The sequence below is a fragment of the Homo sapiens genome, chromosome 16 (assembly GCF_000001405.40).
Source record: "Homo sapiens chromosome 16, GRCh38.p14 Primary Assembly".
In the NCBI taxonomy this organism is placed as follows: Eukaryota; Metazoa; Chordata; class Mammalia; order Primates; family Hominidae; genus Homo; species Homo sapiens.
The window spans coordinates 19,701,256-19,724,777 of record NC_000016.10 but is presented as its reverse complement, the minus strand read 5'-3'; the positions used below and the strand labels follow the sequence as shown (position 1 = coordinate 19,724,777).

General features: G+C 50.5%; 2 protein-coding genes across 20 annotated transcripts in view, besides 5 other annotated features; one reads left to right on the top strand and one right to left on the bottom strand.

Annotated features, from left to right (window-relative positions):
- IQCK (IQ motif containing K) overlaps nucleotides 1-6,507 on the bottom strand; it is a 140,197-nt gene extending 133,690 nt beyond the window's left edge. For 7 of the 8 annotated variants that reach the window (NR_130967.3, NR_130968.3, NM_153208.3 and 4 more), the window contains exon 1: nucleotides 6,291-6,507. Coding sequence is in view for 4 of the 8 variants with exons in the window: in NM_153208.3 (NP_694940.1) it covers nucleotides 6,291-6,471 (181 nt within the window). In the remaining 4 variants the exon portion in view is untranslated. Of the gene's footprint in view, nucleotides 1-5,995 lie in introns of all 8 variants that reach the window. The other variant, NM_001394805.1, reaches the window with a different exon arrangement.
- Nucleotides 6,298-6,627: an enhancer, noted in NCBI's record as "active region_10534". NCBI's record gives its function as "activates an Ori minimal core promoter by ATAC-STARR-seq in GM12878 lymphoblastoid cells {active_cell/tissue: GM12878}" and the evidence as "EXISTENCE:reporter gene assay evidence [ECO:0000049][PMID:35858748]".
- On the top strand, nucleotides 6,551-22,841 carry KNOP1 (lysine rich nucleolar protein 1). Of its 12 annotated transcripts, none has more exons than NM_001348528.2 (6): nucleotides 6,551-6,620; nucleotides 7,293-7,427; nucleotides 9,741-10,660; nucleotides 13,338-13,406; nucleotides 14,192-14,269; nucleotides 17,557-22,841. In NM_001348528.2, exons 3-6 carry the CDS (start codon nucleotides 9,743-9,745, stop codon nucleotides 17,866-17,868), a joined length of 1,377 nt encoding a protein of 458 aa, NP_001335457.1. In that variant the 5' UTR covers nucleotides 6,551-6,620; nucleotides 7,293-7,427; nucleotides 9,741-9,742; the 3' UTR covers nucleotides 17,869-22,841. The 12 variants fall into 12 exon arrangements, with proteins under 12 accessions (NP_001335457.1, NP_001335458.1, NP_001013009.2 ...); NM_001348529.2 differs by having other exon boundaries at nucleotides 7,167-7,427; NM_001012991.3 differs by lacking the exon at nucleotides 7,293-7,427.
- Nucleotides 12,097-12,822: an enhancer, noted in NCBI's record as "H3K4me1 hESC enhancer chr16:19723278-19724003 (GRCh37/hg19 assembly coordinates)". NCBI's record gives its function as "activates a minimal SCP1, AML or CMV promoter by ChIP-STARR-seq in primed H9 embryonic stem cells {active_cell/tissue: H9 hESC(primed)}" and the evidence as "EXISTENCE:reporter gene assay evidence [ECO:0000049][PMID:30033119]".
- Nucleotides 13,548-14,274: an enhancer, noted in NCBI's record as "NANOG-H3K27ac-H3K4me1 hESC enhancer chr16:19721826-19722552 (GRCh37/hg19 assembly coordinates)". NCBI's record gives its function as "activates a minimal SCP1, AML or CMV promoter by ChIP-STARR-seq in naive H9 embryonic stem cells {active_cell/tissue: H9 hESC(naive)}" and the evidence as "EXISTENCE:reporter gene assay evidence [ECO:0000049][PMID:30033119]".
- Nucleotides 13,917-14,211: a silencer, noted in NCBI's record as "tiled region #978; K562 Repressive non-DNase unmatched - State 14:Gen5'". NCBI's record gives its function as "represses a minimal TATA promoter and a strong SV40 promoter by Sharpr-MPRA in K562 cells {active_cell/tissue: K562}" and the evidence as "EXISTENCE:reporter gene assay evidence [ECO:0000049][PMID:27701403]".
- Nucleotides 14,275-14,999: an enhancer, noted in NCBI's record as "NANOG-H3K27ac-H3K4me1 hESC enhancer chr16:19721101-19721825 (GRCh37/hg19 assembly coordinates)". NCBI's record gives its function as "activates a minimal SCP1, AML or CMV promoter by ChIP-STARR-seq in naive H9 embryonic stem cells {active_cell/tissue: H9 hESC(naive)}" and the evidence as "EXISTENCE:reporter gene assay evidence [ECO:0000049][PMID:30033119]".
- Nucleotides 22,842-23,522: the final 681 nt, after the last annotated feature.

Here is a 23,522-nt window from a genome sequence, read left to right as displayed (position 1 = left end):
GGCAGATCACAAGGTCAGGAGATTGAGACCATCCTGGCTAACATGGTGAAACCCCCTCTCTACTAAAAATACAAAAACAAAATTAGCCGGGTGTGGTGGCGGGCACCTGTAGTCCCAGCTACTCAGGACGCTGAGGCAGGAGAATGGCGTGAATCCAGGAGGCGGAGCTTGCAGTGAGCCGAGATCGCACCACTGCACTGCAGCCTGGGTGACAGAGCCAGACTCTGACTCAAAAACAAAAAACAAAAAAAAACCCAACAACAAAAATGTAGCATTGACCCACAGTAGCTTATTGGAAGGGGATGGAACAGGAAGATGACGCTGGGAGTGAATCAGACGAACATTTGACAGGCATATACTATAGTGGGAGGTTGTACCAGGCTGCTGGAGAGCCACATGAACAGGGCAGAGGAGCTTATGTTCCAGAGAGGGGATGAATGATAAACCAGGGGTTATGATAAGTGAAAGTATTGCTGTAGAGGGCTTCAACCACAGCCTAGAGGAGAGGAAAGAAGGGGCTTTGAAATTGGCCTGAGGAATTACAGAAGGCTTTCCAGAAGAGGGGCCACGTGGACTGAGTCTAGAGAGATAAATGAGAAGGTAGGGATGTTCCAGGAAGAGACAAAGCTTGTGGAAAGGCATGGAGAGGAATAGTATGGTGCACTGGAGGAATAGTTTTGTGTGACTCCAAGTACACAACACAACAGTGGTACCGAAGTGCTTGTTTAAAATGCAGAACTCAAAGACTCACCCCCAAGGAGTCTGGCCCATCAGGGCAGGAAGGGGAGCCAAGGAAGCTGCTTTTTTTTTTTTTTTTGAAACAAGAGTCTCACTCTGTCACCCAGGCTGGAGGGCAATGGCATGATCTCGGCTCAGTGCAACCTCCTCCTCCCAGGTTCAAGTGATTCTCCTGCCTCAGCCTCCTGAGTAGCTGGGACTACAGGTGCACACTGCCATGCCTGGCTAATTTGTTTAAATTTTATTTTAGTAGAGATGGGGTTTCACCATGTTGGCCAGGCTGGTCTCGAACTCCTGAGCTCAGGCAATCCAGCCCCGTCGGTCTCCTAATGTGCTAGGATTACAGGCTTGAGCTACCACGCCCGGCCAGGAAGCTGCATTTTAACATGTATCCAGGAGATTTTGATGTAGGTGCTCCCAGTCCATGCTTTAAAACCATGCTGGTGTCTTCTTCAGGGGTTTGAACTTGAGAGTCAAAACAGACTTGAGTTTGAAGCCGACCCTGCCGCTTACTTTGGGCAAGTTTCCTAACCTTTCTAAGCCTCAATTTCCTCATCTGTTGCTGTGAGGCTTAAATGAGAAGTAATGCACCTAGCACAATGCCTGGCACATAAACAGCAGCTCAATAAATGGTTGCCATTAGGATGATTTGGGTGAATGGTATGTTGTGAACTAAGAAAAGTAAACAGAGATGGGACGTTAAGAAGCTTAAGGGTTAAGCTAAGGAGTTTATCTGTAAGCTATGAAAATCATTGTAGGTCACAGCATGATGCGATTAGATTTGAATTTTAGAGAGGTTCCTACGACAGCCAGTGGGATATGGTCTGGAAGGAGGCCTGCCTCAATTAACAAGCCACAGCAGCAATCTAAGCAGGGGGTGGTAAGGGCCTGATCTAAGGCAGCAGACATGAAGACTGGTGGGGGTGGGGAGTGGGGGCAGGGTGGGGATGGTGGGAGATATTAAACAGGTAGAATCTATAAGGACTGGCAAATGAGAGTGTGGGGCCGTGGAAAGTGAAAGGGAAGCAGGCCGGATGCGGTAGCTCACGCCTGTAATCCCAGCACTTTGGGAGGCTGAGGCGGGTGGATCACCTAAGGTCAGGAGTTCGACACCAGCCTGGCCAACATGGTGAAACCCCACCTAAAAATACAAAAATTAGCTGGGCATGGTGTCAAGTGCCTGTAATCCCAGCTACTCAGGAGGCTGAGGTGGGGGAATTGCTTGAACCTGGGAGGTGGAAGTTGAAGTAAGCAGATATCGCACCTCTGTACTCCAGCCTGGGCAACAGAGCAAGACTCTGTCTCAAGGGAAGGAAAAAAAAAAAAAAGCTGGACTGGGCAGCTGAGTGAACGATGGTAACATTCGTGGAGATGGAGATAAGTTGTTGGCGTCTAAAACAGTGCCTGCAGTTATACCTGGCCCAGCATTGAAAACAGTTCCCAGCCCTGGTAGATACAAGTTGGCTCAATGCTTAAGAACAATTTATTCGGAGAAATGAGGAAGAAGCTGGTCTGCCCTTAGTTGATAAGGGAATGGGAATGAAAGACTGATAGGAGCTGGAAGAGGATATAGGGTCATGGTGGAGGTTTCTTCCTGATATGACAGGCCAGGGGTGTTTGGAGGAAAAAGCTAGTAGAGAAGTTAAAGGCGTAGCAGAGGAAGTGAGTGATAAAGCAGGATCCTGGAATAGCAAGGGGACGGTAAGCAAAGATGGAGAGCTGAGTGGCGAGTAGCGGGGTGAGAGCTTCTTCCACGTGTACAGATGGATGTTAGCAGACTCCCTCCCCACTCCTGACTGCCTGACTCTTCTCAGTGAACGCATCCTATGCTAAGAGGTATCACAGAACATTTCAGGAGGTGTTACAGACTTGGACTAGTAGAACCAGGCAATGGGAGAAGGCATTGAGAGATGCTGATTGCTGAGCAGTGCTGAGAGCCAGTTGGGGTCATCTTTCTTCAGCTGGCTCAGTGGCTGTGCTGGAGGAACAAGTATTGATTCACAACTGATCCATGTCGGTATCTGGCAGGTGAAATGAAAGGCCAGATTTTACAACAGCATTGAGGGCTGAGGCCAGAGAGTGCTTGATTAAGTGATGAACCAATGACAATAGTGAGGATGCTGATAACAGTAATCACAGCATATCAAAATAGGAAACTGTAAGGCCAGGCGCGGTGGCTCACGCCTGTAATCCCAGCACTTTGGGAGGATGAGGCGGGCTGACTGCTTGAGGTCAGGTGTTTGAGACCAGCTTGGCCAACATGGCAAAACCCCATCTCTACAAAAAATTAGCCAGGCATGGTGGTGGGTGCCTGTAATCCCAGCTATTTGGGAGGCTGAAGCAGGAGAATTGCTTGAATCTGGGAGGCAGAGGTTGCAGTGAGCCGAGATTGCGCCACTGCACTGCAGCCTGGGTGACAGAGCCAGACTTCATCTCAAAAAAAAAAAAAAAAGGAAACTGTTAAGCCCCACATCCTTTGATTGTCTTGATTAAAACCATGAACACAGCTAGTCACAAACTACTATAAGATTTGATTAGAAGTGTTGGCCGGGAAGAAGTTTATTGACACTAACACGAGTGCTTTTTAGAATACAAAACTCAGTTGTCACTGGAAAGATGAGGGAGAAAACTGAAGAATATTTACAAATAAGTTATAGTGGTGAGCATGCACATACATACAAAAGAGCACTAGTCAGGTTGGTTAAGGTCTGTGTAAGTTAGATATTGACCTACTTTGTATTTTGTCTTCATGAAATTGAGTTTCTGGCAGGTCTGTTTGCTATGATAATTTGTCTTTTGAATGGAGATTATCTTAAGAGAATGTAGTACTTAATCTCAAAGATAGGATTACTACAAAGCCTGTTTTTTCATGTTTGTTGTCAGAAACTGAATTTACTACATGTTATAGAAAACTGCATTTGTTAGATGTTTAAGAATTGGGTTTATCCATCTGTTATAATACTCATCACAGTGTCCATGTGTATAGTTTGCCAATGTTGACCTCACTGAATTGTTTTTTTTTTTTTTCTAGACGGATTCTTACTTTGTTGCCCAGGCTGGAGTGCAGTGGCACGATCTCAGGTCATTGCAACCTCCGCCTCTCAGGTTCAAGCGACTCTCCTGCCTCAGTCTCCTGAGTAGCTGGGATTACCCACCACCAAGCCTGACTTAGTTTTTATATTTTTAGTAGAGACAGGGTTTCAACATGTTGGCCAGGCTAGTCTCCAATTCCTGACCGCAGGTGATCCACCCGCCTTGGCCTCCCAAAGTGCTGGGATTACAGGTGTGAGCCACCATGCCTGACCTCATTCTGTAACTCTATCATTTTAAAAGTGGCATCAATTCACTTGCTCTTCAGAGAGAACCAAAACCCTTTGTCTTTGCTTTCTCTCTAGAGGCCTATTTGACCAAAATAAACTCGGTGTGTAAATCACAACACAAGGCATGTTTCTTTGTCAACAATAATGAACATTTATTGACTACTTTTTAAATGCCAGGCACTGTGCTAAGCACCTTTTCATACATTATCTTACTTGGTCCCCACAACAGCCCTGTGAGGTAGGCACAACAATTATCTGTCTCTTACAGATGAGGCTGAGTAACTTTTCTAACAATCCTCTAGTAAACTGTATTATAAGAAACTGTTTGGCTTGGAGAAGTGAAAGCTCTGGGGAAAAGGCAGCCACAATAACTACCGTCAAATTATCTGAGTAGATTCTTTGGGGTAGAGTGATTAGCTCCTTGGATCATAGCACCAAGAGGTAAGGACGTAGGGGTGAAAGTGACAAAGAGAACATGCAAAATGAAAGGGATTTTTCTAGCACAATGTAAGGTTGGAGAAGGAATTTAAGTACTGGATGGGGTTGAAACAGACAGCTTTGGAGGGCATCTATCAACTGAGTCTACTATTCTCTTCCTTCTCTGTATTCTCCACTTCTTTCGAGTCATCGCATATACTGGTACATTCATTCTTTTTTTCCATTCAATAAACATTTACTGACCTGCACTATCCAATACAGCAGCCACTATCCAAATGTGGCTATTTAAATTTATTAAAATTAAGTCTGGGCTGGGCCTGGTGGCTCAGGCCTGTAATTGTAGCACTTTGGGAGGCCGAGGCAGGTAGATCACCTGAGGTCAGGAGTTCAAGAGCAGCCTGGCCAAAATGGTGAAACCCCTTCTCTACAAAAATAAAAAAATTAGCCAGGAATGATGACGGGTGCCTGTAATCCCAGCTACTCAGGAGATTGAGGTGTGAGAATGCTTGAACCCGGGAGGCGGAGGTTGCAGTGAGCCCAGCCAGTGCCACTGCATTCCAGCCTGGGCGACAGAGCAACATGCCGTCTCAAAAAAAAAAAAAAAAAAAAAATTTGAGTCCAACAAGAAATTCAGTTACTCAATTGCACTAATCACATTTCAAATGCTAACTAACCACACTTTTTTTTTTTTGGGGATGGAGTCTCGCTCTGTCACCCAGGCTGGAGTGCAGTGGCGCAAACTCGGCTCACTGCAACGCCACCTCCCTGGTTCAAGCAATTCCCTTTCCTCAGCCTCCCAAGTAGCTGAGATTATAGGCGCACACCACCACGCCCAGATAATTTTTTTTTTGTATTTTCAGTAGAGACGGGGTTTCACCGCGCTGTTTCAGGCAGCTTAGGTAGTGATGGTGGCCACACGAATGAAAAATCTGAGTCCTTGACCTTGAGGAGCTTATGGTCTAGTGGAGGAAAAAGAAAACATCCCACCCAACATTATTCATTAAGAACTAGCGCTTACGTAGCTCCTTCTGTAAATCGAGCAGTTTGTGTTTTTTTTTCCCCAATAATCCTTTTGCCCTCCTAAAATCAGGCAGTTTGCTAAGCACTTTTTGTGACTATCTGGTTCCATCTTCTTAACACCATCGAAATAGGTGCCATTATTATGCCCACTTTGCAGACAGGGTCATAAGTTAAATAATTTGCCCAACCTAAGTAACAAATACTGAGTAGAGCCACAAAGGAAGATGTGCTCAACTCCGCCTGGGGAGGTTAAGGAAGGTTTGAAGCAAGAAGGGACTAAAACCCGTTTGTCCACACCATGGTTACTGAACGTGTGGGCCACCGACTACCTACGTTAGGATTACCTGGGGTGCTCTTTTAAAAAGTGCAGATTCCCTGCATCCCAATTTGAAGCTCTGTGGGCGGGGCCTGGGAACCTCCGTTTATAACAAGATCCCCACCCCGGCCCCCGCCCCAGCAATTCCTTTCGGTTCACTAACCGAGGTTTAAGAACCAATGGTCCACACCGCATGGTTCTCTTTATTCAGCTTTCCCTCGCCGTTCCCTTGCCTTTAACCTCACTACGGATCGCGATTGGAGTCCGCGCTGCGTAACCTCGGGCCAGCCTCTCCGAGCCTCAGTTTCCCCATGCGTAAAATGCGGAGCCCGGGCCCGCGGAGCCGCTGCCCGGCGGCCCCGCCCGTCAGCCGACAGGCGCACAGTGGGCGCTCCCCAAACGCGGCCCCCGTCCGGCCGCCCGGGTCCCGCCCCTCTCGGCCAGCCCAGGTTTCCTACCCTTGCAGATCTGCTCCCACAGATTCTTGCTTGACGGCTCGGTGACCTGCCACGACGAGACAGGCAGCTCGCGGGACGCGAGAGACACGGTGGGCACCGGCGTCCGGGTGAACGACGAGTCTGTAGAGCAGCTGGGCTTGAGGCGCACTATGTGGCTGGGGATTTGCCGCGGTGCCGCCATGGCCGCGGTTTCCACGGTAACCGCGTTCGCCGGAAGGCCGCGACCCGGAAGAAGCCGGAACCCGAGAGGGTGGGCCGGCGACTCGAAGTGGACTTCCGGGTCACGGCGGAGCTGGCTCTCACGTGGAGGCGGGGAAATTTCGCCCACCGGTGAGTGCCAGGGCGCGTTGCAGGCGGGCCGGCGCGGGGTGTGGAGATTGCACCAGAGGAAGTGCGCGGCGGGGAAGATGGGGAAATGCGGTCCACCCACATCCCTGAATCCGACCCCTCCAGTCGGTGTGCGCCCGCTCCGGCCTGAGGCCGCCGCCTCCAGAAAGTTTTCCCGCCTCAGAGCCGGCCCTGGGACCCCACGTAATCCCTCCCAGTCTGTTGATGCGGAGGCTTGGGCCCATGGGAGCCTTGGAGGTACGGATCTTACTTCCTGGCTCCCGCGCGTCCTGCTGGTGATCCTGCCGGGGGAGTGGGGTGTTGCTGCACAGGCTTTGGAGTCCTGTGGGCGGAATTCCAGTCTCCGTTTTCCACTTGCTGGCTTTGGAACCTAGGGCAAGTGAATTATTGTAGTCTCTGGAGCTTGCGAGGTCGGGTATTCACAAAGATCTTCACAAGGCTGTCCCTGGAATTTAAAAGCGGTTTTGGAGAAAGCGTTTGCGTTTGCAGGAGATGCACTGTAACGTTCTTTTCCTTTCTCCTTGAAAGAGTGAATGCATTTGGTCGCAGGGCTAAAGAGGAGGATGCTATACTTTTCTAAATGGCAAGAGATGGGGAGAGAAGGGGATTAAGAGTTGACCCGCAACCTCCCGGTGGATTCTTTGTTCTTACCAGATCTCTTGGCCACTCCCCTATTCTGAAGTCGTCTTGGCTCTCTTGACTGCTCCCCTATTCTGAAGTCGTCTTGGCTCTCTTGACTGCTCCCCTATTCTGAAGTCGTCTTGGCTCTCCTGACTACACTATTTCAAGGTTTGCACCTTCTTCTTTGCAAGCTCCTTTATCTCTGCCCACTTATTTAAATGCCAATACAATAGTCCCCCTCCCCCATTATCCGCGGGCAGTACGTTCCTAAACCCCCAGTGGATGCCTGAAACCACAGACAGTACCGAACCCTAAATATAACTGTTTTTTCTTGTGTATACTATCTATGAGAAAGTTTATAAATTAGGCACAGTAGGGCCGGGCGTGGTGGCTCATGCCTGTAATCCCAGCACTTTGGGAGGATGAGGCGGGCGGATCACCTGAGGCCAGTAGTTGGAGACCAGCCTGGCCAACATAGTAAAACCCCGTCCCTACTAAAAATACAAAAATTAGCCGGGCGTGGTGGTATGTGCCTGTAATCCCGGCTACTCGGGAGGCTGAGGCGTGAAAATTGCTTGAACCCGGGAGGTGGAGGTTGCAGTGAGCCGAGATGATGCCACTGCACTCCAGCCTGGGCAACAGAGCCAGACCTTGTCTCACAAAAAATTAGGTGCAGTAAACGATTACCAACAATCTAGCTAGTAATAAAATAGAACAATTACAACAGTATACTGTAATAAAAGTTGCATGCATGTGGTCTCCCTCTCAAGATAACTTCCTGTACTGTGCTCACCTATTTTGGGACCAGGGTTGACCAGGGGTAACGGAAACCTGGGATTAGGTGGCGAGCTACTGTATTTCTTGAAGTCTTGTCTCAGGCTTGTTCTGTTCAAGGCTTATCACCACCCATACATTCCTAACTTTATGTCGCCCGTGTCAGCACGGCCACCCAAACTCCTCATCCATATATATTCACCTGTCCAGTGAACATCTCCAAGTCATCTGTCCAATCAAGCCTGTTCTTCAGCCACTTGCCTTCAGTACCTTTGTCTCAGGGATTAATACCACCATCCTGCAGTTGTTCTTCAGAAATTTTCCTGACAACTGGTAGGACAGGTTCCACAACCTCCACCACCCTGACCTTAGCACTGTCCTTGCTTTTATCACCTGTATCATTGTATTACACCTTATTCCCTCCCACACCTACTTGCTTCTTGATGGGTGGTGTTTTATCTTGTTCATCTCTGTATCCCTAGCATGTGTGCATTCATTCAGTGAGTATGTATTGAGCACCTGCTATGTGCCAGGCACTGAGCAGGACACTGGAAATAAACCAGGAAACAGGGCAGACAGCAATGAATGAGTATAGTTATTCCCTTGACTCTCCAGGTGCGCCTGGAGTGGGTTATGAATGAACTTGACCTGTAGCTCAGGCCTGGCTCTTTGAAGCTGCTAAGAGAGAGCCAGCTCCAGTGTGGACCCTCTGAGTTCCGAAGCTGAGGAGGGCTGCAGGATGGAGAAGTTTTTCCTTTCCCTCCCATGATCCTAACTTGCTATGAAATATTTTGGGATATTTTGCTTCTAGATTCTGGGAATGTCTAGTGCAGGAACTTGGCTGGGGACTGGAGTGAGAGCAGTGGTCCAGCTGGACACTGATGGGTATTGAGGACCCCAGCCCATTCTCACAGGTGCTTCCACGATATCTGTCCAAGACAAGCTGGGTGCCCTCAGTACTGTGCATCATTGTGACTCATTCAGTGTTGGCAATCAACTTCAAATTTTAAAAACAGTGGAACTAGGCCAGGCAAGGTGGCTCATGCGTGTAATCCCAGCACTTTGGGAGGCTGAGGCGGGCGGATCACTTGAGGTCAGGAGTTTGAGACTAGCCTGGCCAACATGGAGAAACCCCGTCCCTCCTAAAAAAGAAAAAAAAAATTAGCTGGGCATGATCACGGGTGCCTGTTATCCCAGCTACTCAGGGGAGGCTGAGGCAGGAGAATCACTTGAACCCAGGAGACGGAGGTTGCAGTGGGCCGAGATCACGCCACTGCATTCCAGCTTGGGTGACAGAGCAAGACTCTGTCTCAAAAAAAAAAAAAAAAAAAGAGAAAAAGAAAAAGGGAATTAACAGTGTACCAAGCCCTTTCCATGGGTTATCTCATTTACTCCCTCCAACACCCTTTTGAGGAGGGAGGTGTTATATTCCCCCATTTTCCAGATGGAGAAATTGAGGCTCAGGGAGGTTAGCTGATTTACTTAAGGTGAGAGAGGCATTTAGGTTTGAACCTAGGGCTGTGTGGATTTAAAATTTACGCTGTTTCTGTAGTATTTCTTTTTTTGCTTTAAAGGAATCATGTCCATTTTCCCTGTCCCACAACGCTTTGACCACCCACTCAAAGAAACATGGCTCTTGGCAATGCTTAGTAGAATTGAACACAGGATGGCTTGGTATGGGATAACTTGTACCATTTGTTTTTTCAGGAATGATCACCAAGACACACAAAGTAGACCTTGGGCTCCCAGAGAAGAAAAAGAAGAAGAAAGTGGTCAAAGAACCAGAGACTCGATACTCAGTTTTAAACAATGATGATTACTTTGCTGATGTTTCTCCTTTAAGAGCTACATCCCCCTCTAAGAGTGTGGCCCATGGGCAGGCACCTGAGATGCCTCTAGTGAAGAAAAAGAAGAAGAAAAAGAAGGGTGTCAGCACCCTTTGCGAGGAGCATGTAGAACCTGAGACCACGCTGCCTGCTAGACGGACAGAGAAGTCACCCAGCCTCAGGAAGCAGGTGTTTGGCCACTTGGAGTTCCTCAGTGGGGAAAAGAAAAATAAGAAGTCACCTCTAGCCATGTCCCATGCCTCTGGGGTGAAAACCTCCCCAGACCCTAGACAGGGTGAGGAGGAAACCAGAGTTGGCAAGAAGCTCAAAAAACACAAGAAGGAAAAAAAGGGGGCCCAGGACCCCACAGCCTTCTCGGTCCAGGACCCTTGGTTCTGTGAGGCCAGGGAGGCCAGGGATGTTGGGGACACTTGCTCAGTGGGGAAGAAGGATGAGGAACAGGCAGCCTTGGGGCAGAAACGGAAGCGGAAGAGCCCCAGAGAACACAATGGGAAGGTGAAGAAGAAAAAAAAAATCCACCAGGAGGGAGATGCCCTCCCAGGCCACTCCAAGCCCTCCAGGTCCATGGAGAGCAGCCCTAGGAAAGGAAGTAAAAAGAAGCCAGTCAAAGTTGAGGCTCCGGAATACATCCCCATAAGTGATGACCCTAAGGCCTCCGCAAAGAAAAAGATGAAGTCCAAAAAGAAGGTAGAGCAGCCAGTCATCGAGGAGCCAGCTCTGAAAAGGAAGAAAAAGAAGAAGAGGAAAGAGAGTGGGGTAGCAGGAGACCCTTGGAAGGAGGTAGTTTTTCCTTCAGAAATGGACTTTGCCGTGGGAGAATTAAGGGTGGGGTTTGGGAGGGGTGTGTAGGCGTGTGTGCATGTTTGTACATGCACGAGTACTCATGCTTTTAGCTAAAACCCTGGTTAAATTAATTTCAGCCAGAATAGGGAGTTTATTGATATATGCAATTGGAAAGGTTATGGTTAACTAGCTTCAGGTATGGCTGGATCTAGGGGCTCATGCAGTATCATCGATAATTGCAGGTATCCTTTGCTACTGAAACCACCCAAGTTTTCCCTGTCTGCCGTTGGGGTCTGAATTAACTGGGATCAATTTTTCAGATGAATCCCTTGCTTTCTGAACTCTTGCCACTTGCTATCCAAAACTCAGGAACCAAGTAACATGAGATAACGTAGTGCCTGTAGCTATCTGAGTATCATCACAGCTCAGTATACACAATTTATACATCAAATAGATTTGGGTAGCCGGAGATGCCTGTATGAGATTTCCTCAGCTCTGGGCTTTGTATTTTTCTATCTTGGTTTATGGCCCATCCTCCTCCTCCACCTCCATCACATTGTGACCTGATGGTCCCGGCAGCTCTAGGCTTTCATCCCAGCAGTTCAGCCACCCCCAAAGGAAGAAGGGTGGCCCCTGTAAATCTATGACAGAAGTCTCAGGGCCACTATCGCAGGCCTCAGTTGGGTCAATCTATCCAGAAGCTCTAATCTAAAACCAAAGGTGGCCGGGTGCGGTGGCTCATGCTTGTAATCCCAGCACTTTGGGAGACCAAGGCAGGCAGATCACTTGAGGCCAGGAGTTCGAGACCAGCCTGGCCAACATGGTGAAACCCCATCTCTACTAAAAATACAGAAACTAGCTGGGCATGATGGCAGGCGCCTGTATTCCCAGCTACTCGTGAGGCTGAGGCACGAGAATTGCTTAAACCTGGGAGGTGGAGGTTGCAGTGGGCCGACATGCCACTGCACTCCAGCCTGGGTGACAGAGCGGGACTGTCTCAAAAAAAAAAAACTTGAGGTGAAGGACAGGGCGGGTATCAGTCCTAACTAAACCACACCGTCTGAGATGCGGGGAGGCAGTTTCTGAGAGGAAAACTGGAGTTCTGTTACCAGGAGGGAAGGAGTGGATGATGGCTTGGTGAAAACCACAGAGACCTGCTGTCTTCAGCCTGCCAGGCTGCCTGGAGTGGGAGAGGGAGGCCTGAGGTGAGCCGGAGGGCTGGTGGCTCCCCAGACCCACAGCCTTTCCCAGCTGAGCCCCTTCCAGGGCCAGGCCCCCATTCCTGTCCTCAGGTGTGTGCACGGACGTGTGGGCCGAAACGATGGTGTGTGTCTTGTTTCAGGGTGTGTGTCCTGCTCCAGACAGTGTCCGGCCCTTCCGTGTGGCCGGTGGCTGACATTTCTTGAGTGTTTACTGTATGCCCAGACTGCTTTGTATCAACCCATCTCATCCTCCTACCTGTCTGGTGAGGTAGCTGCTGTGGGCACCCCCATTTGACAGATCAGGAAACTGAGGCTCCAGAGACTTAATACCTTGTCTAAGGCCACACAGCTGGCAAGAGGTGGAGTTGGGATTCAAACTCAGCTAGTCTGGCTTCTGAAGTTGGCATTTATCCCTTCTCAGAAACCATCTATGTAACCTCTTGTAGAAGCCGGTATTAGTAGAGCCCCAGAAATGACCATCTTTCCATTAGCATAAACCCCAGATTCTCTTCCGAGCTCTGCACCAATCTGCTGGGTGACCTTGGACCACCCATTGCTCGGTTAGAGGGGGAGGGGAGTGGAGGGGTGGCCTCCATATCAAAGGCCTCCAGGTGTTAGCTTTGGTTGCTAGGATTTTCCCAGCTTTGCCCTAGTCCATTAGCCTTGGTTTTACCAGCATCTTCCTTTATTCAGAAACTTGGAGTTGGGAGGAACCCTAGAGGCTTGGGCCCAGCCGCCATCAGACTCTAGAATCCCTTCTCCCAGGAGCTCAGTGAAAGGGAGTTCCCTCTGCTTAACATCTGTGGGGGGACTCTACCTCCCACAGCAGCCCACCCAGTCCAGCAAATGCACATGTGTTGCAGGCCTGGATGAGTGATGGGAATGGAGAGGGCTTCCAGGGTCATCACACACGTGACGCTAGGTGCCAGGCACAGCACACTTCTCAAGTGAGGACGCATGAAATGTCAGCATTTGTCGTTACTGAAGAACCCCAAGAAAGTGGCCGGCCTGAGGTCTCGCTGTTGGAGGGTGTCTTCAGGGCCAAGGCGGGTGGGAGAGCATGGTGCATGTTAGTGTGGTCCTTGGCCTCTGTCCTGTAGTTTGGTGTCACCGTAGGAGGTAGGTGACGTGTGTAGTGGGAAAGGTCGGACACCAAGCCCTGGGTCAGGAGATGTGGGTTAGAATCACCAGTCCCTGAGCCGTGGGGTAACCTTGTAGTCACTTTACCTGTCTGAGTCTCAGTTTCTTCATCCGTCAAATAGTTTAGTACTACTGTTTTGCGGGAGAATTGTGGAAGAGAAGGGATGGGAAGGGCTTTGCTGACTGAGATGTTTCTAGGTGGCAGGGCTGGGGGTGATGCCGTGGTCTGAGGTCTTTTCTGGACTTTGTCATGGTCTCACCCTGGCTGGGTGCAGAGGCAGAGGCCATTCATTGTAAACTTGAACCTTAGCCAGCTCTGCCCTCTCCTGCAGGAAACAGACACGGACTTAGAGGTGGTGTTGGAAAAAAAAGGCAACATGGATGAGGCGCACATAGACCAGGTACAGCCCAGACCCTCCTCAGGCCCCTCCCGCTGCCTCCTGCCACCCTTGGAGTCTCACTTGCTGCCTGCCAGGCTGGCTAGGTGATCCTGGTCTCAGGGGCACCAGGGACTCCAGAGGCCACTGGGCCAGCTGCCAACGCACACCTCCCGGGCCGGGAATGCGTGCTTTCCCCATCCTCATGCTGGGGGCCCTTCCGGCTGCCGTGGCCATGGCCGAGAGGCCCGACTGGCCATTCCCTGTTACTTGCTGCAGGATGTGGGGGACATGTCCCTAAGACCCTGCAGCTGGGCAGGTGACACATGCTGCCACCCCCTGGGCTAATTCAGGAGCATTTAGAGGAGAAGTTTTGTTGTGAATCAGCTTCCGCTTCTGTCGTTCCCATATCCCGTGGCAAATGCATCCCTGTGGGAAGTGGACTTTCTGGCCTTGGGGATTTTTTTTTTTTTTTTTTTTTTTTGAGACGGAGTCTCACTCTGTCCCCCAGGCTGGAGTGCCGTGGCGTGATCTTGGCTCACTGCAAGCTCTTAAGCCTCAGTTTCTAGGAAAATTCATTCTTAAGAGGCTAAAGAGGATAAATGAGCCTGCCCAGTGTAGGCCAAGGGGCGCAGCCCTTGAGATGCTAAGAGAATACTTATGATAGCAGCTTCCCATTGTTTGTAGCAGAGTCAAGCTGTGTTAGTTCCTCCCACGTTCCGTTCCCCCAGCCCCGTCTCTGTCCTGGGTTTTAAGCTTGAAAGAAGATCTCTGTCTGACGGCCCTCTTCTGTCATCCTTCTTGCTCAGGTGAGGCGAAAGGCCTTGCAAGAAGAGATCGATCGCGAGTCAGGCAAAACGGAAGCTTCTGAAACCAGGAAGTGGACGGTAAGTTTGGGGCTAGGGCTCTGCGAGGAGGTGGCACGCTCGGCCTCCCGACGCTTCCCCTCGCCTCCAGCATGAGGAGTGGAGCAGGAGAACCAAGTATGTCCAGGCCCCAGAGGCAGCCCTAGCCTGCAGCAGGCTCCCTCCACAGCAGAATTTGTCCTGAGCTAATTTCCTTCCTTCTGAAAAGGGCGCTTGCCTCCCTCCTAGAGAGCTGGCCCGGTGAGATAAGCTGCCTGAACCTTTGTCTCAGCCCTGGACTGGTGGGGTGTCCTAAGGATTAATCACTGAGGACACATTCCAGCGAGCTCTTGCCAGTGGTGGACGATGCCTTTGGAGGGCTGCTAGGAACAGGGACAAGAGGCAGAGGGGAGGGAGTGGTCGCGGCCCCTCTCAGGCCTGGTTTTCAGATCCAGTCTGACTGGGAAATGTCCAAGCCGGGCCTGAGAAGATCTCTCAGGAGGGAGGAGGGTGCGAGGATCATGAGGCTGGAGAGTGTGAGGTTGTCAGGCTGGGGCCCTGGCGGAGTTCAGTGGGGGCTCTGTGCTGGGTGCTGGACATGGAGCAGATGAAGCCCATGTGATCCCCATCATCGCGCTCACGGTCTAGAGGCCAGAGCGGGGTGAGCATGGCAGGGAAATGGTTAGCAAACAAGGAAAGGAAGATCAGTTGAGGTGGCAGTAGCGGTCAGGAGAAAGAAACAGAACAGTGAGCTGGAGAGGGGCTGCAACAGATGGGCGAGGGCTGGGAGGTGGCAGCGCTTGTCCAGAGATGTTCAGGGTGCAGAGGCCCCAGCCCTCAGGAGACAGGGGGAAGAGCGTTTCAGTGAGGCCAGTGGCCGGTGCAGACCCCTAAGGTAGGAAAGGGCCTGGAGTGATCTGTAGGGAAGGCCAGTGAGGCGGCACTGCGGCTGGAATGAGGGACGAGAGGGCTACAGGCCACAGGCCTCGGCCTCAGCGGCCATGATAGAGAGCTGGCCTGGGATCTGGCTAAGTGGGATTGGCTGGAGGGCATTGACTCGGCAAGCGGGAAGACCTGGTAGAAGGCTCAGCCTGCAGGCCGCAGCCTGAGGATGGTGGCAGAGGATAGAGAGAGAAAACAGCTTTGTGATTTACTTTGGAGGCACAGCTGGCAGGACTTGTTCATAGATTGGATTTTGGGGAGACGAGAAGAAAGGTCTGGGTGACCAGCGATGCTGGCCTTCAGGCTCCGTCAGAGCATTCAGAAAAGAACAGTCGATTCGGATCAAAAGATCTGATTTCACTACTGGCTCTGCCACTGTCTAGTGGTGGGACTCTGGCCAGGTACCTTCCCCTGAGCCTGTAAAATGGGACTCGTACCCTGGCCTGGTGGGGTATGGAGTGGGGCTTTGTTATGGGTCCTGCCTTGGGGTGCCCTTTCTCTCCATGCCACCCTGCTGAGCTGAGCCGAGCTGATGGGACATCCAGCTTGAATAGGGAGGGCAAGAAAAAAGGCAGTGTGATTCGGAGCCGATGTCCCGGGGGGCTGTCCCTGGAAGGACCTGACGGCAGGAGAGTGATCCTGGGGCACAGGGGCTGGGACATGCCATGCCACTGAGACGTGGTGAAGTGGTCCTCTGGGTGGGCAGCAGCCGTTGGAAGTGCTGGTTCACGCAGGACCAGCTAGCAGTCTCCTGCTCTCCCCAAAACCCATGTGGGGTGGTCATAGATGGCCTCTCACTCTAGAAACTGCAGGGCAGGGGAGCTGTCATTATTCCTGCATCTGGGCCACCATGAAGCTGGGAGAATGTGTCACCGGTTCACTCAGGGCAGCTGTAGTGACAACTGGTTCTTATTTTCCCAAAGCCAACCCAGAAATAAGTGCTGGGCTGGCCTCTGGCTTGTGGGCGGGAAGTTCCCAGGCAGCGTCGATGTCAGCAGTCTGGTTGGGGTAGGGGGAGAGGAGTGGCCAGTCACTGAGGGCTTGAGGTGTGCCATGCATCGTGCACTGGGCTTTTGGTGTCAAATCTGACGTATGTCTCACTGAAGCCCTGTGAGGGGGATGTTATCACCCCACCTTAGAGATGAGGGCACCAAGGCTTAGAGAGGTTAGGGGACTTGAGCAGGGTCACCCAGGGGAGGCTTCCTCCCGGGGCTGCCTGACTTCCGAGTCACAGTCTTCTTGGGAGGTGAGTTTCTTTCCTCTCCCACCGACCTGGGAGAAGGGGGTCTGGAGGGCTCTCCTGCATTTTCTTGCACATGGGTGGTAGCGCACTCTGGCTGGAATGGGGACCCCCGAGTTCTTGGGCTTGGCTCAGTCTGACTTGGCTGTGTGACCTTTTACCCCTGTGGGCCCGCACCCGTTCCCGCCATAAAACAGTGCTTCTGAGAAGCACACTTCAGATTCCCACTCGCCCTCTCCCACCCTCCAATTCACCCAAACGTTAGGCTGCTGGGTGAGTGCGCCCGGCTGCTGGGCTGTGGGGTGCCCTGTGTTGCAGGGGAGGTGCGCCCTGTGGGGAGGTGGGGGAGGTGTGCTGTCTTGTGAGATGCATGGTGGGGTGAGGTGCGCTGTGTAGGGAGGTGGGGGGAGGTGCGCTGTATAGGGAGTGGGGGAAGTGCTATGTAGGGAGGTGGGGGAGTGTGCTGTGTAGGGAGGTGGGGGGAGTGCGATGTGTAGGGTGGTGGGGGGAGTGCACTGTGTAGCGTGGTTAGGGGAGGTGCGCTTTGTAGGATGGTAGGGGGAGAGTGTGCTGTGTAGCGTGGTGGGAGGAGGTGCGCCATGTGCGCCGTGTAGGGAGGTGGGGGGAGTGCTCTGTGTAGGGTCGTGGGGGGAGTGTGCTCTGTAGAGTGGTGGGGGAGTGTGCTGTGTAGGGAGGTGGGGGAGGGGAGGTGCACTGTGTAGGGAGGTGGGGGGAAATGCTTAGTGTAGGGTGGTGGGGGGAGTGCGCTGTTGTGAAGTGAGGCACACTGTGCCGTGTGCCATGAGTTAGGAAAGGAGGAGGAAGGCAGAAAGGCAGCTCTGTGCAGAGGTGGGCAGTGGTGTTGGCTGGACCTGGGCTGGAATTCTGGGGGTCACTAGTTAGGTTTCTGTCTCCAGCTAAGCTGCAGACCTCTATTTTCTCCTCTGTGCAATGGGAATAACAACAGTGTTTCTCATAGGGCTGTCTTTAGGATTAACGGAATAATCCGTTGTTGAGCTTATTAGCACTGTGCCTGGTACACAGCAGCCATCTAATCTGCTGGGCCCTCCCTGATGAGGGTGGGGGTCAAGGGAAGGAAAGGGCTTTGAACTCAAGGAAAATAGCCACCTTTTTCCTCTCCTCACAGGGAACCCAGTTTGGCCAGTGGGATACTGCTGGTTTTGAGAACGAGGACCAAAAACTGAAATTTCTCAGACTTATGGGTGGCTTCAAAAACCTGTCCCCTTCGTTCAGCCGCCCCGCCAGCACGATTGCAAGGCCCAACATGGCCCTCGGCAAGAAGGCGGCTGACAGCCTGCAGCAGAATCTGCAGCGGGACTACGACCGGGCCATGAGCTGGAAGTACAGCCGGGGAGCCGGCCTCGGCTTCTCCACCGCCCCCAACAAGATCTTTTACATTGACAGGAACGCTTCCAAGTCAGTCAAGCTGGAAGATTAAACTCTAGAGTTTTGTCCCCCCAAAACTGCCACAATTGCTTTGATTATTCCATTTATGCTGGAGATTACAAATTTTTTTTGTGAAAAAATCAGATCTTGGTGAGGACCTCGAGCAGTAAGATATAAATAACTCCCATAAGCTTAGCGTTCCAGTAATGGAACACTAGGCATAAATGGTTTATTCAGTTGTGCAAATGAAAGCCATCTGACAGTTGGCTCACATTGAACACCTGTGGAGATTAAGGACGAGGACAACTATATTGATGGGCTTGGATGAACTGGGGCAGGGCAGCTCATATTTCGGGAGCCAGGAGAACGAGTGAGTGCTAAAACCTCCTGTTTTCTGTGTTAAACATTCCGTCCCTGTTTGAGACATCAGTATGTACAGTTAACTTTTGTTGAGTGTTTAGCAGGTACTAGGGACATACTAGTGTTTTCCTTAATGTATTTAATCTTCATAATTATGAAATGGGTGCTATTATTAGCCCCATCTTATAGATGAGGCAACTGAGGTTCAGGGATAAAGTAATAAAATTGCCTGGGGTCACCCAGCCACTAAGTGCAGGGTGTTGTACTTTTGTACCCGAAGCCCTAAGTTCACTATTCGCCACTCTGAATGTCCCCTTTAGGGAATTTCCACCAGAATCCTCGTTGGGGATTGAAATGTCTTTAGATGGAGGAAAAAGTTTTATGACAAGTCTGCATCTCTGATAAAAAGTGGAGTGAATGAGGAACGGAGAATCGCAAACTCCTTTTCCTTCCTTTTCCTTTCCCCTGTCATAGAGCAGCTGTAGGCAGAGAGGTGTCTGAGTTGTTACCAAACACATGTGACTGAGCTGCTGCTGCTGGGAAATGTGCCTCTAAACCAGTCCTGCCTTTTCCACTGGTGTCCCTTCGGCCCTAAGTGCTGAGGTAGGATTTTTGTGCTTTGACTGGATTCTGAACAAGGCATTTTAGGAAGAGTGGTTAGTCCCGCAAATGAATCAATGGCAGATCCCAGGGACGTGTGTGTGTGTTTTGAGATAGGCTCTCACTCTGTCACCCAGGCTGGAGTGTAGTGGCATATCACGGCTTGTTGCAACCACTACCTATCCAGCTTAAGTGATCCTCCCACCTCAGCCTCCCAAGTAGCTGGGACTGTGGGTGTGCACCACAACAACCAGCTAGTGTTTAAAATTTTTTGTAGAGATGGGGTCTCACTATATTGTCCAGGCTAGTCCCAAACTCCTGGACTCAACTCATGCTCCTGCCTCAGCCCCCAAGAGCTGGGATCACAGGTGTGAGCCACTGTGCCCAGCCCCAGGGATGTGTCTGATGAGATTCTTTTTTATCACAAGGAAGAGAATCCCAGGTGACTTCTGTAGGTGGATATTGAATGCCAGGAGGAGATGAACGTGTGGAGATGACACGGGAAGTTGCCTCATCGGCTGTGGGGACAGCGTTTCCAAGCCTGGACTCTACAGCAAGCCTCAAAGAGCTCCAGGTCCAGTGGCCCAAGTCGCATGTGACCATCTGTGACCACCTTCTTTCCACTCACCTAGCTTTTTGCATCCCAAAATACAGGTTCTGACTGGGACATTTTCACGATCGTTTGGCCTGAACATGCCTCCTACAGACATCCCAGCCCAGGCAGGCCTCGATGGCCAGAAAGTTCAGTCTCACGTGGCAGGAAGGCCTGATTAGGGCCTGGTTCAACAGCTCGCCAAGGAAGCATTCTCTCCATCATCTCCAGTGTTGGCTTCATCAAGGCTAGTACAAAGATGGCAGTAACAGTTCCAGGCAGCATATCAAGACCCTAGAACATTCCAGAGGAAGAAAAGCCTTTTTGTGTCTCAAGGAAACTTCCAGAAGCCTCCATTGCTGGGCAATGAGTCATCTGCCCATAGCTGCACCCGCCCCTGTCATGGGAAGGCTGGTGATTCCCTTCAGTCAAGAAGAGTGGATGCTGGTGAAGTGGCCATGGTGTCCACAGCTGCCCATTGGGCAGAGGTGAGGCAGGCACTTCAGGCAGTTTCCCTGGCTCTGAACCCTGATCCGCAAGCATTGGCCAGGTCAATAGTTGGACAAGTATGTGCTACAAGGACCTACTTGGGCCACTTCCCTCAGGACGTGAACTTGTCCTGCCTTTCTTTCCTGGATTCAACCTTGAGATACATAATGGGAGAGGCCGTGGAAAGCCCAAGAGGCAGTGTTCTGGATTTGAGTGAGTGCCTTCTGGGCACCTCCTCCTTTGATGGAGAAACAAATCCCTCCTGACCTTGAGCAACACTACAGGAATGTGCCTGGTGTAAACAGGAACCAGCCGTTCGTTTCTTTTTTTTTGAGATGGAGTCTCACGGTCGCGCAGGCTGGAGTGTGGTGGCGTGATCTCGGCTCATTGTAACCTCTGCTTCCTGGGTTCAAGCGATTCTTGTGCCTCAGTCTCCTGAGTAGCTGGAATCGGCCGTTTACTACTCATAGTTTTTATCTTGCCAAGAGGTCACCCTGACGTTGGCCTGCCTTAGCTCTGTTAAAAAGGTTGTGCTCTGCCAGGTGCGGTGACTCACGCCTGTAATCCCAGCACTTTGGGAGGCCAAGGTGGGCGGATCACGAGGTCAAGAGTTCGAGACCAGCCTGACCAACATGGTGAAACCCCGTCTCTACTAAAAATACAAAAATTAGCTGGGTGGGTGTGGTGTCACGGGCTTGTAATCCCGGCTACTCAGGAGGCTGACAGGAGAATCGCTTGAACCCGGGAGGTGGAGGTTGTAGTGAGCTGGGATGGTGCCACTGCACACTCTAGCCCCGGGCAACAGAATGAGACTCTGTCTCAAAAACAAACAAAAAAAAACTGTCTTTGGGTGATTGTGGAGAGGTGATCATATGTCCGCTGTGTTGCTCCCATCCAAGCCCTGGTGACTGGTAGCTCTCATGAGGGTGTGATGGTCAGGCCTTGCCCCTGGTGTAAATTCTGTCTGTAATAGGCTGTGACTTTCTAACTCAACATCACCACTGGCTTAGGAGTTCCATTTGCACAGGGGGAGCTTTATTGCTTTTCTATATACATAAGAACTTTACGTCTCACCAGTGGAGGTTGGGCAGCCAAGACACCACAATGCTGGGTGTCTTCAGAATGGACTTAATCTTGTCCTTTTGCTTTCTGCCAGTGCAGATCACCATCTCTCAGATGAGCAGGACCCCACCCTCTGGCAGTCTTGTCTTGGGAGAATCACTCTGAGCTCCCATCCTTTGTAAATTAACATTGGTTTGAGCACCACCCTCCATCACGGCTGCAGTGAGCCATGATTGCACCACTGTGTTCCAGCCTGGGTGACAGAGCAAGACCCCATTCCAAAAAAAAAAAAAAATTTGCCAAATAGACACAGTCCTCACAAAAGAAGTTGGCAGAATAACACCCCTTCCTACCACATCTCCTCAGAACCTGTGTATTTGTTAGGTTACGAAACAAAAGGGAATTAAGTTTGCTAATCAGCTGACCTTAAAACAGGAAGAGGATCCCGTGTTTCTGGGTGGGCCGGAGGAATCACAAAGATCCCTAAATGTGGAAGAGGAAGGCAAAAAAGAGTCCACATCAAAGAGACTTAAGAAAGACTTGACTAGACACTGCTGGTTTTGAAGATGGGAAGGGAAGGGTCAGAAGCCAAGGAATGTGTGTGCTGTCTAGAAGCTGGAAAAGGCAAGGAAGTAGATTCTCCCCTAGAGCCTCCCAGAAGGAGCGTAGCCCTGCTGATGCCTTAATTTTAGCTCAGTGAGACCAGGCGGACTTAAGACCTATAGAACCGTCAGATGACAACATTATGTTTTAAGCCGCTACAATTGTGGCAATTTGTTAAAGTAACAATAGAAGACCTAATGTAAGTAAGTCTCATGTGGAAGTTGCCATGGTTTTGTTTTTCTTTCTTTTTTTTTTTTTGAGACAGTCTCACTCTCACTCCACGCCCAGGCTGGAGTGCAGAGGCGTGATCTCAGCTCACTGCAACCTCCACCTCCAGGGTTCAAGCGATTCTCCTGCCTCAGCCTCCTGAGAAGCTGGGATTACAGGTGAGCACCACCACACCCAGCTAATTTTTTTTTGTATTTTTAGTAGAGATGGAGTTTCACCATGTTGGCCAGGATGGTCTTGATCTCTTGGCCTCATGATCCACCTACCTCAGCCTCCCAAAGTGTTGGTATTACAGGCATGAGCCACCGCACCCAGGCCCCATCATTTTTATTTTCTACAATTCTGGCTGACATCTTATTGCTCCATCCTTGCTAATGATAGACTTCATCTCACATAGACCAGTGTTTTCAGAGACCGGCTTATTGATTCAGTAAAGGGCTGGGGGAAACTGCACACACAAGGACATATAAAATCTAAGCCTCTGCCTGGGCCACATGACAGGATTCAGAAGCACCTTTGATATAATGGGTGCCCGACCTCATGTGAAAGTCCAAGTTCAGGTGTAATGTGAGAGCGGTAAGAATTCACTGGCCTAGGCTTGGGAACTAATGCTGCCCACCACGTTCAGCCTCAGAGGAGAAGAAATGACTTGAAGAACATAATTTGTGAATTTGCCAATTGTTTTTCATTTTATAGCATCACACAGTAAAAGTAGATAAAATAATTTTAATGAAAATACTTCTGTGGGCCAGGTGCGGTGGCTTACGCCTGTAATCCCAGCACTTTGGGAGGCCGAGGCGGCGGATCACCTGAGGTCAGGAGTTCTAGACCAGCCTGACCAACATGGAGAAACCCCATCTCTACTAAAAATACAAAATTAGCTGGGTGTGGTGGCGCACTCCTGTTATCCCAGCTACTCAGGAGGCTGAGGCAGGAGAATTGCTTAGACTCGGGAGGCGGAGGTTGGGGTGAGCCGAGATCACGCCATTGTACTCCAGCCTGGGCAACAAGAGTGAAACTGTCTCAAAAAAAAGAAAAAAAAACAGAATTTTGTGAAATAAAGGCCACTTGGGAGTATCTGAGCCACCCCACAATGCTGTCTGAGTTTCTGTATGATTTAGTAGAGGGGAGGGAAAGAAGCATTCATTAGTGTCTGCTGTCCTTTAATTTTTTTTGAGATGAGATGATATTTTGCTCTTGTCACTCAGGCTGGAGTGCAGTGACGCAATCTCGGCTCACTGCAACCTCCGCCTCCTGGGTTCAAGCGATTCTCCTGCCTCAGCCTCCCAAGTAGCTGGGATTACAGGTGTGTGCCACCACGCCTGGCTAATTTTTGTATTGTTAGTAGAGACGGGGTTTCACCATGTTGGCCAGGCTGGTCTCGAATTCCTGACCTCAGGTGATCTGCCTGCCTCAGCCTCCCAAAGTGCTGGGATTACAGGCGTGAATCACCGTGCCCGGCCAATAAATTGATTTAAAAAAATTTTTTAGCCCCTTTTACTGTCTGAGGTTAACTGAGTGTTCAACTGTAGTCTTGTATTTCTCAGAGTAAAGATGAAATGTAATCTATGTCCAGTTCCAGTGTGGATCTTGTAGAAGCACAATAGTTTGGGGCATTTTTAATCCACAGTGTGGATGCATTTTCATAATGGCAGTGGCTGAGATGATGAATCACCCATCAGTATGAATGTTTTTACTGATTCAAAATGAAATGTCGGTGCAAGCTCACCAGCCGTAATAGAAGAATCAGGTTCCACCAAACTGTTGGAAGA